Here is a 12255-nt window from a genome sequence, read left to right as displayed (position 1 = left end):
CACCAGCTCCTGCTCATATATACGTTACTCAGTCTTCCGGAGCGTTATTTTTGTTTCTCTCTGAAGCAAAAAAATAAAATAGAACTGTGAGATGACGTATAGAAACCCCTGATCACAATACTTGGCTTGTAGTAAGTTTTCAAGAAGTGGCGGAGGTTCCTATTATATGAGAGGCAACAGGTTCGAGAAGTTGCACTGGCTTGTCCAAAGCCATCCAGAAAGCCAAAGCAGAGATGGGACTAGTACCCGGACCTCCCAGCCCCAGGCTCTTAAAATACAATCACCTGGGCGGGCGCGGTGGCTCACACCTGTAATCCCAGCACTTTGGGAGGCCAAGGCAGGCAGATCACCTGAGGTCAGGAGTTCGAGACCAGCCTGACCAATATGGAGAAACCCCGTCTCTACTAAAAATACAAAAAAATTAGCCGGGCGTGGTGGTGCGTGCCTGTAATCCCAGCTACTCGAGAGGCTGAGGCAGGAGAATCGCTTGAACCCGGGAGGTGGAGGTTGCAGTGAGCCCAGATCACACCACTGCACTCCAGCCTGGTGACACTGCAAGACTCTGTCTCAAAAATAAATAAATTAATTAATTAATTTAAAAAATAAGATAAGTTATTTCCCAAAATAAACCTCCTTCTTTCCTGGGAACTAGACTGCCTTTGTAGGACTAACAAATTAGCCACAAGATTAGACACGTAGGAGTCATGCACCTGGAGGCTACAAGATTCTGACCCTCCCCAAATTGCTCCTGGGGATAACATCACTATTGTAAAACCTAAGACCAGTGCTTGAGATATTTTGCAGACCCTGCACTTGATGGATCAGCTGGCACCACCAGATTGATAAACTGGTTCATCTGATCTTGTGTCCCCCAACCAGGAACTGACTTGGCACAAGAAGACAGCCTTGACTTTCTATGATTTTATCTCCAACACAACCAATCAGCACTCCTGGCATACTGGCCTCTCTTAACCCACCACATTATCCTTAAAAACTCTGATCTCCAAGGTGGGGCATAGTGGCTCACACCTGTAATCCTAGCACTTTGGGAGGCTGAGGCGGGTGGATCACCTGAGGTCAGGAGTTCGAGACCAGCCTTGCCAACATGGTGAAACCCTGTCTCTACTAAAAATACAAAATGAGCCAGGTATGGTGGTGCATGCCTGTAATCCCAACTACTTGGGAGGCTGAGGTAGGAGAATCGCTTAAACCTGGGAGGCGGAGGTTGCAGTGAGCTGAGATTGTGCCATTGCACTCCAGCCTGGGCAACAAGAGCGAAACTCCATTTCAAAAACAAACAAACAAAAACCCCAAAAACCTCTGATCCCTGAATGCTAGGGGAAATTGATGTGAGTAATAATAAAACTCAGCCAGACTGCACAGCTGGCTCTGCATGAATTACTCTCTCTATTGCAATTCCCCTATTTTGATAAATCAGCTGTGTAGGTAGTGGGCATGGTGAACCAGTTGAGCAGTTAAAAATTTGGGGGCTCATTCGGGATTGCTCTTGTGCTACCTGCCCCGGTTCTGTAGACCCCCTCTGGCGATGGATCCAGAGGCCAGCCCAAGCGGCCACCTAGTTTTGGACTGGGGGCTGACTCTGGCGTCATCTCTATCGGCAGGGCACTACTAGCCCAATATGTATGGAGTACACTTTGCAATAGAGAAATTGTCCTGGGGAGATATCTCATAACTAGAGCTCCATGGCAAGGTGTCCCTCTGTAGCTCCACCATGGGGTGCCTGTAACTGTAACCTTATCACAGTGTCTGTTTGTAGCCCCATCATGGATTGTCTGCAGCTGCAGCCCCATTATGGGGTGTCTGATTTGGTGAGTAGTCTAGGTGCTGCCAACACCCCTTTCCTTCTCCCAATTGGTTCAGCTTCTTCAGGGGTCTCGGTTTACTCTCCCTAATTAGTAGGAAGAGTCTTGGTTCTGGAGACTTCTCCTCAATCAGTAAGATTTCGGGGAGACTTCTCAGATGGAGAATAGGATAGTTTGGAAGGAATACTCTTGGAATTCTTGGTTAGGGATCTTGGTTTGGAAGGCCTTCTGTCCGTCTTGTCTTTGTGTGTGTGTTTGTATATGTGGAGGGGATCTCTGAGGGAATTTCTGATGCAAGTCCAGCAGGCCTAACTCAGAAAACCCTCTGTAAGTATGGTCACATTCAGTGAGCTCTGAAAAAAAAGCTTAACAGGCCTGACTGTTAAGGGGTAACTCTCTGCTCTTTGTCTTGCCCAGAGACTACTCATTGATGCCATCCCTCCCCACCTTGAGTGGATCAAAGATGATAGGGACCAAAGGAAGACAGTTTGAGCCTTGCTAGGGTGATACTGGGTGCCCAATGAGGTGACTACTATCTGTTTTGTTATGTGTATTTTGCTTCAGCTGAGACGGAAAATGTTAATTCGGTTCTCCATGCAGCCCATCGGGCAGCATCTTACAAAGTTGAGAAGCTTTGCCTATGGTTCCATAAAACAGAAAAGGATGATATTTATTTATTTATTTATTTATTTATTTATTTTGTAGTGGGCTTGGCCCCCACAGCTATAGCATAGTGAACAGTTATCAAAGGCCGCTCCGTTCTTCTGGAAGCTGCAGAGAAAGGGAACCTGGAAACCTGGTATGCCGGCAAAAAGGGTAACAACTTATTAGCCAACTTTCTGGCCTGTATGTGTGTGTGTGTGTATGTTAAACATCACTGTCTCCTCTACAAAGGTCTGATTAATAGAAAAAAAGACTTATGAGACTAGTTTAGGCTATAGAAAATCTGGTGTACTTAGTGCTATGAATTTGTTTTTCTGTGTTGTTCTATAATGGAGGGGGCATCACAGGATAGAACATGGACTTAGGAGCCATATAAGCCAACTGTCCAAAGCCAGTTCAGCAGGCTGGTCACTTACAAACTTTTCTGTGAGTCCCTGAAACCAATACCAGATGAAGTTTCTCTCTCATGTTGTTTTATGTCCTTGAACTTAACCTTGTGACCATGTGAGGATACTTTATCTTGGATTCTGCCATCCAGAGGACAGGAATTTTGGGGTTCATGTCATAGGTAGCCCTAAAAATTATCTTGAGCAGTTAAAAGCCTTCGCAAGCTCAAAATCTTCCTTCTGGGAAGAGCAATAGAAAGTGCTTAATGCGGTAGCTCAGTACTAAGGCTTTGGCATTTGACAGTGGTGGCCCAGGTTCAATTCTTGGCTCAGGGGGCTTAGGGAGTGAGCCCTTTCTGGTTTGTTATTTGTGTAACTTTTTGCCATTTATTGATTCTTTTTCCCCATGGACCGATTCTGGTTTTCTGTCTTTATTCTTACTTTTGCTGAACTACCTTTGGGGAGACTCTAATTATTAGAAAACGAAAACAAAAACTGCTTACCATCTCTTTAAGACACTTTATGCATCCATGGTTAAGTTATGACCTTAGTTAAAATGTATTAATTTCACATGGGAGGTTACCTGTGGTAGAATTCAAAAGCCAGAAATATTGGCTGTCCTGGCTAGTCTGGTAATAAAAGATTTTGGGCTGAGCACGGTGGCTCACGCGTGTATTCCCAGCACATTGGGAGGCCAAGGAGAGTGGATCAGCTGAGATCAGGAGTTTGAGACCAGCTTGACTAACATGGAGAAACCTCATCTCTAATAAAATATAAAATTAGGCAGGCGTGGTGGCACACGCCTGTAATCCCAGCTACTCGGGAAGCTGAGGCAGGAGAATCACTTGAACCCAGGAGGTGGAGGTTGTAGTGAGCCGAGATCATGCCATTGCACTCCAGCCTGGGCAACAAGAGCAAAACTTTGTCTCAAACAAACAAAACAAAAATTTAACAGTTTTTTTTTTAAGAAAAAAGAGCTATATGGTTAAAATCAGCTTAATAAAAAGTGGATATGCAAACTGTACATATATTTAAAAAGCCTTTATGTTTGTTTTCTTTTCTCTTCTTGGATCTTATTTTTCTGAAGGAAAATTAAAGTTTTTTTTTTTCTTTTCAGTCAACTGAATTGTTTTTCTCCATTTTGTCTTCTTGCCATTCTTGAGGTCCACATGAGAGAACCTAAGATAATTACTAACAGCCTGGGACTCCTGGGGAAAAACAGAGGAGGTGTCACAGACCCCATTCTAGGAAAAACCTCTGTTTCCCTCATGTAACCCCAGAAATTGAAGGAGGATAGAGTCCTCTCAAAGTCTAAGGCTCTGTTCTGTTTTACATTACATTACCTGACACTTGTGACTTTGGGGGCAGGTTGTCCAAAATTACTTTGCATTGTGAGAGAGCTTTTAGCCTTGGTGTGTAATAACCAGGTAGCGAATATATTTTAAGGGATGGCTAATGGCAGTTAGGAGGGATACTTGGCTCTTTGCACGCTTGGATCAAAGAAGCACGCTCTTGACCACCTAGAGGCATGGAAACATCTCCACCCCACCCCCTCACCCCTGCTAAATATGAGATTCCCATAAGAGATGGGCTGATTACAAAATGAGCTGATTGGCTTTGGGTTGCCTTGCAATGAAATCCACAGTAGAAGCATTGCACTATCTTCTCTGGTAGCATTTCCCTTCTTTTTGGGGATCCAGGATCCAGTATAAAAATGGGACCCTTCATTTTGGGGATCTGTTTTTGCCTTCCAGCTGTGGCTGCTTGTTAGAACATTGGCTCACTCCTCTTAACCCACATCATGGGTTAAAGAAATCATTGCCAGGAGGCCTTCACTCCTCTAGAAGGGCATCATTTGTTAAGTCCTTTTTCTATGGTTTGGAGTAAAAGGGGCAATGATTAGAAATGTATCCCCCATGATAGGTTCTATAGCAGGTTCTACTGTAAAGTCTATGGTTCCACAACAGACTTTATCTTATGAAAGTTATGCTAAATAATGGAATTGCTCTAGATTACTTACTGGCACAGAAGTATCTGTGCAGCTGCTGGCACTTGTGGCCTATGGATAAATATATCACGTCGGGCATTATAGAGATTCAGTTGTAGGGGATTAGTGGAAAGACTGCTTAGTTAAGCGAGTAGACTCTTCATCTAGCTCATTCTTTGATCTATTTAATTTCAGGTGGTTTGGTTTATGGGGACCCTGGATAAGGAGAATACTCCAAACACTTGGTGTTATCCTCGCGATAGTCATAATAGTAGTCTCCCTGGTGTGCTGTATTCTCTCAAAGGTTTTAAGTGTTTGCACACAGCCATCTTTAGAATATCAAACGGTCTCTCTTCAGTTGGAATGACAAGAGCTGAAAGAAATGTGCAACCATGCCGGGTGTGGTGGTTCACTCCTGTAATCCCAGCACTTTGGGAGGCCAAGGCAGGTGGATCACTTGAGGCCAGGAGTTCGAGATCGTCCTGGCCAACATGGTGAAACCCTGTCTCTACTAAAAATACAAAAATTAGCTGGGTGTGGCGGTGCCTGCCTGTAAACCCAGCTACTCAGGAGGCTGAGGCATGAGAATCGCTTAAACCCAGGAGGTGGAGGTTACAGTGAGCCAAGATCATACCACTGCACTCCAGCCTGGGTGACAGAGTAGACTCTGTTTCAAAAAAAGAAATGTGCAACCATGAGGACACCATAACCTATGAATGACACGCTGAGACCAGAAACCCAAAATGATGGTAACTGAGAGTGGCGTTAAGGCCCTAAGTTTTGGTCACCGTCTCACCTAAGTAAGAACTCTCACCTAAGGGAGAATGTGACCAAAAAGGGGGAATATTTAAAAACAAAATTAGGGGAGGCCATTGTTTTGGAATGAGCACTAGGCCCCAAACCAAACCAAAATGGAGTCACTCGTGCTAAATGTGACATAGCAATACTAAGACTTTAAGGAACACATAGGTCCTAGAACAAACCAGGTTTTGTTTTTCTTCTGTAAACAGGAGGTTCCAGCATAAGGAGGTACCCTCTACTCAGTCCTTGTTCCCACCTTGCAAAACTCACTGTTCTACTGTTTCCCAGTGGGTTTCAAGACCAAATAAGTATATTTATGCTGGGATGGTGACATGAATGACTAAAGTTTTGGTCAATCTCTCAAAATTGAGAAAATGATCAAAAGGGGGGAATTGTTAAATCAAGTTTAGCCTAAAGCTGCCTCCTTATATATTTTAAGTTCAGCCTAAAGATTTTCTGTACATCATGAACTACAACAAGTGGAGATGTAAACAGACTGTAGCCCATATCTGTGCCAATCACTGAGTTTGGGCCAATCAAATGTAGCCAATTGTTCCAACTGTGTTAAAATAAGGCAAACGCTGAAATGTAAGCAATCCAGTTGCTTCTAAACCTCATTTGTGTTTTCTGTACTTCACTTTCCTTTTCCTGTCCATAAATCTTCTTCTACCACAAAGCTGCACTGGAGTCTCTATGCCTACCCTGGCTCAAAAAGCTGCTCAATTCGTGACTTGCTCATTGATCAATCAAACATCTTTAAACTTAATTCAGCTGAAGTTTTTCTTTTATCACTGTGGCAGAGGCATTTGAACTAGAGTGACTCCATCTTGAATGGGGGCTAGATAAAATAAGGCTGAAACCTTCTGAGCTGCATTCCCATGAGGTTAAAGCATTCCTAGTTACAAGAAGAGACAGGAGGTTGACACAGGGTACATGTCACAAAGGCCTTGCTGATAAAAAGTAGTGGTAAAGAAGTCAGCCAAAACCCACCAAAACCAAGATGGCAATGAGAGTGACCTCTGGTTGTCCTCACTGTTCATTATACACTAATTATAATGTATTAGCATGCTAAAAGACACTCCCATCAGTGCCATGACACTTTATAAATGTCATAGCAACATAGAAAGTTACCCCATATGGTCTAAAAGGGGGAAGAACTCTCAGTTCCAGAAAGTGCCCACCCCTTTCCTGGAAAACTCATGAATAACCCACCCCTTCTTTAGCATATAATTAGGAAATGATCATTAAAGTGGACAGCCAGCAGCCCTTGGGGGTGCTCTGCATATGGAATAGTCATTCTTTTTTTTTTTTTTTTTTTTTTTTTTATGCAGAGTCTCACTCTGTTGCCCAGGCTGGAGTGTAGTGGTGCAATCTTGGCTCACTGCAACCTCCACTTCCCAGGTTCAAGTGATTCTCCTGCCTCAGCCTCCTGAGTAGCTGGGATTACAGGCATGCGCTACCACGCCTGGCTAATTTTTGTATTTTTATTAGAGATGGAGTTTCTCCATGTTGGTCAGGCTGGTCTCAAACTCCTGACCTCAGGTGACCTGCCCACCTTGGCCTCCCAAAGTGCTAGGATTACAGGCATGAGCCACCGCTCCCGGCCAGAATAGCCACTCTTTATTCCTTACTCTTTTTTTTTTTCTGAGACAGAGTCTTGCTCTGTCACCCAGGCTGGGATGCAGTGGCATGATCTCGGCTCTCTGCAACCTCCGCCTCCCAGGTTCAAGCAATTCTCCTGTCTCGCCTCCCAGGTAGCTGGAATTACAGGTGCCCGCCACCACGCCTGGCTAATTTTTGTATTTTTGGTAGAGACTGGGTTTCACCATGTGGCCAGACTGGTCTCGATCTCCTGACCTTGTGATACACCTGCCTCGGCCTCCCACATTGCTGAGATTATAGGCATGAGCTACCATGCCCAGCCTATTCCTTTACTCAAGTTGAACGATTTTCAAAAGCCAAAGAAGCAGTTTATAACCTTAAAGCATTTAGCAAACCTAATATCTGACCTGCCTAAATTAGACTAAATATCTTTATTTTACCAATAATCTTCAAAATTGTTTTTATTTCCCAAAGGTTACTAAAGTCATGTGAACTAAAAGGCATTACAGTTTTTATTTTTCTTTCAAAATATTTAAGTACTTATTTTTCTTGAAGCCAATTAATCAGAGCTCTTTTATATAAACATCACACGCACAACACATATATAACTACACAGACAGACAGATGGAAGAAGATCCAGTAGCTGTAGGATTTTTCATTTGCCAGTTTTTATATTTCTTAATTGGATTACTGGCTTTAGAGTGGAGCCCTTTGTAGAACAGGGTGAGGAAAGCAGTTTCTAGGACCTAATAAGCAGGCACACCTGGAAGGTAAAATGGATTCCCCCAATATTAAGGGTTTCATTTTTAGACCAGATCTCAGATCCCAAAAGGAGAAATGCTATGAACAAGACAGTGCAATGATTTTACCATGCATTTAATTGCAAAGCAATCCAAAGCTAACCAGCCCATTCTGTGACTAGCCCATCATCCATGGGAGTCTTGTCTCTCAGTCAGGGGGTGTGGGTGACATTTCCATACTTTTTTTTTTTTTTTTTTTGAGAAGGAGTCTCACACCATCACCCAGGCTGGAGTGCAGTGGCATGATCTCAGCTCACTGCAACCTCCACCTTCTGGGTTCAAGCGATTCTTCTGCCTCAGCCTCCTGAGTAGCTGGCACTACAGGCATGTGCCACCACGCCCAGCTAATTTTTGTATTTCTAGTAGAGATGAAGTTTCACCACATTGGCCAGGCTGGTCTCAAACTCCTGACCTTGTGATCCACCTGCCTTGACCCCCTCAAAGTGCTGGGATTACAGGTATGAGGAACCACGCCCGGCTCATTTCCATGCTTTCTAGGTGGCCAAGAGCATGCTTCTCTGATCCGAACATGCAAAGAGCTGAGAATTCCCCCATAATTGCCATTAGCTATCCCCAAAACTGTATTTCCTACCTAGCTATTACACACTAAATTTCTCTCATAATGTGAAGTAACTTCTGGTACCCCCAAAACTCAAAAATATCAGATAATGCAATGCAGAAAAGAACAGAGCCTTAGATTTTGAGAGGGCTCTAACTGCTTCCAATTCCTGGGGTTTCATGAGAAAAACAGAGGTTTTTCCCAAAACAGGCTCTGTGGTGCCTCCTGTTTTACCCAAGGAGTCCCAGGCTGTTAGAGCTTGAATATCTTTTTGGGTATCTTTACAGCAGTGGTCCACTCTACTGGTACTAATTTACTGTATTTGTCCATTTTCACACTGCTGATAAAGACACACCCAGGACTGGGTAATTTATAAAGAAAAAGAGGTTTGATGGTCTCACAGTTCCACGTGGTGGGGGAGGCCTCACAGTTATGGTGAAAGGCAAAAGGCACGTCTTACATGGCAGCAGACGAGAGAATGAAAACCAAGCAAAAGGGATTTCCCCTTATAAAAACCATCAAATCTCGTGAGACTTACTCACTACCATGAGAACAGTATGGGGGAAACCGCCACCATGATTTAATTCTCTCCCACTAGGTCCCTCCCACAACACATGGGAATTATGGGAGCTACAATTCAAGATGAGATTTAGTTGGGGACACAACAAAGCCATATCACCCACCCATTGCAGTGATACTGAATCAAAAGTTCAAGTGGTCACTTTTTGGTCACAAAGGGACCTTTTCCAGCTGTCCCATCAGCCCTTAAATTTCACCTTTGGGGGGAAAAGTTTCCCCAGGTTCTAAGGTCCTGTACGTGCCTAATCCTGTCACTCATAGCTGTCAGCAAAGAGTACAAGGCAGATTTAATTTTTTTTAATCAATTAGTTGCCTAAGCTTTTTATTTGCCTTTTGTAAAGGCTTTAAATAAAAATATGGAAATCTTTTTAAACTCTTCTGCATATCAGCTGGGCGCAGTGGCTCACGCCTGTAATCCCAGCACTTTGAGAGGCCAAGGCGGGTGGATCACAAGGTCAGGAGTTCAAGATCAGCCTGGCCAATATGGTGAAACCCCCTCTCTAATAAGAATGCAAAATTAGCCGAGTGTGGTGGCGCATGCCTGTAATCCCAGCTACTCAGGAGGCTGAGGTAGGAGAATTGTTTGAACCCGGGAGGCGGAGGTTGCTGTGAGCCGAGATCACGCCATTGCACTACAGCCTGGGCAACAAGAACGAAACTCCATCTCTGAAAAAAAAAACAAAAAACAAAAAAACTCTTCTGCATATCAACAGACATCCCTAGATGAGACTAATTAGGGAGCCCTCATTTTCAAATGCATTTCAGTGCAGTTTTATTCATTTGGAATGTTCCACTGTAAGTTACCTTTAGTACGATTTCACCATTTCTGTAAGACTTCGCTGCTTCCAGGGCCCTAATACTTACGCATGTATAAGTCAGAAGGAACTCAGTTCTTCAGAAATTAAGTATCAAATTTTTACCTAGGATATTGGGTTTGCTCTCGGGTTCCCTTGATTAACTTAGCCAATGATTTTTTTTCCTGTGTAAGCACTGAAGAAAAATGAAACAAAGGGGTGAAAAACAAAAATCCCTGTGAATTTCCAAAACCCAAATTTTACACCCCCTGCAATATTACCATTTACTACCAGTTTCTTTCTGACCCAGTCAGTTGTAAGAGGCCTTAACTGGATCCAAGCCAGTTAATTACCAGATCTAATTCAATCCCGGACCCAGTCCAATTTCTGTTGTGATTTCCAAACCCAGTTTGGAACAGAAATTTCCTCAAAGAAACTCGGAGAGCTCAAAGCACAAATCCATGGAGTTCTGAAATCTGAGCAAGAACTTACCATGATCCCCAGCTGCTCCAAGAGATCAATGGACACAAATGGGTCCTGCAGGTACCTTGCTTGATCACTCAGCACCCCTGGGGGTCATTAGAAGAAGCTCTACTTCAGATCCTGTTTCTGACCCCATCTGATGAAAGCAAAACTTCAGCTGAATTAAATTTAAAGGAGTTTAGTTGAGAAATGAACAATCCATGAACTGGGGAGCCTTTTGAGCCAGGCTAGGCTCAGAAACTCTAGCACAGCCATGTGGTGGAAGAAGGTTTACGACAGAAAAAGGGAAGTGATGTACAGAAAACGGAAGTGAGGTTCAGAAACAACTGGATTGGTTACAGCTCAGCATTTGTCTTATTTGAACACAGTTCAAACAGTTGGCTACATTTGATTGGCCAAAAACTCAGTAATTGGCACAGGTGTGGGCCATGGTTTGTTTATACCTCCACTTGTTATAGTTCACGATGTACAGAGAAACCTTTAGGCTGAACTTAAAATATGTAAGGAGGCAGCTTTAGGCTAAACTTGATTTAACAAGAGATACCAGAGATGACCTTGTACTGAGAGAGGATTTGACCTTGGCATGTGAAATGGTGGACGAGAGCTACAAAGTTAGGGGTGGCTGAGCACAATTTACAGGAAGTAGTCTTGGCTGTTGTTTTTTTTCTGTCTTAGGAGGCTGTTGTTTAAGGATCCTACTTCTAGTTCGGAGGTGCATTCTTTATTTTTATTTTTTGGAGACAGAGTCTGCTCTGTCACCTAGGCTGGAGTGCAGTGGTGCAATCTTGGCTCACTGCAACCTCCGCCTTCTGGGTTCAGGCAATTCTCCTGCCTCAGCCTCTCACGTAGCTGGGACCACAGGCATGCACCGTCATACCCAGCTAATTTTTTGTGTTTTAATAGAGACAGGGTTTCATCATGTTGCACAGGGTGGTCTCAAACTCCTGAGCTCAGGCAATCCACCCGCCTTGGCCTCCCAAAGTGCTGTGATTATAGGTGTGAGCCACCACACTGAGCTCAGAGGCGCATTCTAAAGGGTCTTCTCCATTGCTTTTTCTCCCAAAATTAATCTCAATTTGGCTTGTCTGTGTACATTTAAGTGAGGAACTGAACTGTTGTTTTCATAGGTAAATGACAGACTGAGTTTACTCAGCATCCAAGAGAAAGAGCATTTTGCAGCCAGGCACGGTGGCTCATGCCTGTAATCCCAGCACTTTGGGAAGCCAAGGCGGGCAGATCACGAGGTCAGGAGATCAAGACCATCCTGGCCAACATGGTGAAACCTCATCTCTACTAAAAATACAAAAATTAGCTGGGCATGGTGGCGCGTGCCTGTAATCCCAGCTACTCGGGAGGCTGAACCAGGAGAATAGCTTGAACCAGGGAGTTGGAGGTTGCAGTGAGCCGAGATGGTGCCACTGCACTCCAGCCTGGTGACAGACCAAGACTCTTTCTCAAAAAAAAAAAAAAAAAAAAAAAAGAGAAAGGGCATTTTGCCCTTGCTAGCTGAAAGGCGCCCCTGGGTGACCGGGGGCCACATGGGAGTGTCTGGAGGGTTGACCCTCATGACGTGCAACGGCCCTACAGGGAACCCTCACCAAAATTAGTTTTAAAAAGGCTTGTCCAGGAAGGGCATATGGAAGCTGATGACTCCGCACTTTCAGCCCTCCTGAAGGGGCTTAGACCTGCAGAGTCAGAAACTGAGACGCTAAGAGGGCAGTAACACCTCAGTGGTGACACACTATGGAGTGCTGCCCTCAAGCAGCACACACTTTGAC

General features: G+C 44.1%; 1 protein-coding gene and 1 long non-coding RNA gene across 2 annotated transcripts in view, besides 3 other annotated features; one reads left to right on the top strand and one right to left on the bottom strand.

The window, feature by feature from the left end:
- Positions 1-12255, top strand: part of TRIM14 (tripartite motif containing 14) — an 83426-nt gene that overhangs the window by 62897 nt on the left and 8274 nt on the right. The window lies entirely within an intron of this gene.
- Positions 36-85: an enhancer, noted in NCBI's record as "active region_28687". NCBI's record gives its function as "activates an Ori minimal core promoter by ATAC-STARR-seq in GM12878 lymphoblastoid cells {active_cell/tissue: GM12878}" and the evidence as "EXISTENCE:reporter gene assay evidence [ECO:0000049][PMID:35858748]".
- LOC124902227 (uncharacterized) lies at positions 8123-10754 on the bottom strand. Its single transcript, XR_007061687.1, has 2 exons — positions 10487-10754; positions 8123-9866 (listed from the first exon to the last, which is right to left on the bottom strand). It is a non-coding gene; the product is annotated as an uncharacterized LOC124902227 (long non-coding RNA).
- Positions 10502-10551: an enhancer, noted in NCBI's record as "active region_28686". NCBI's record gives its function as "activates an Ori minimal core promoter by ATAC-STARR-seq in GM12878 lymphoblastoid cells {active_cell/tissue: GM12878}" and the evidence as "EXISTENCE:reporter gene assay evidence [ECO:0000049][PMID:35858748]".
- Positions 10652-10721: an enhancer, noted in NCBI's record as "active region_28685". NCBI's record gives its function as "activates an Ori minimal core promoter by ATAC-STARR-seq in GM12878 lymphoblastoid cells {active_cell/tissue: GM12878}" and the evidence as "EXISTENCE:reporter gene assay evidence [ECO:0000049][PMID:35858748]".

The sequence above is a fragment of the Homo sapiens genome, chromosome 9 (assembly GCF_000001405.40).
Source record: "Homo sapiens chromosome 9, GRCh38.p14 Primary Assembly".
NCBI classification, from domain to species: Eukaryota; Metazoa; Chordata; class Mammalia; order Primates; family Hominidae; genus Homo; species Homo sapiens.
The sequence above is the reverse complement of the archived record's forward strand: the minus strand, read 5'-3'. Positions and strand labels throughout refer to the sequence as shown.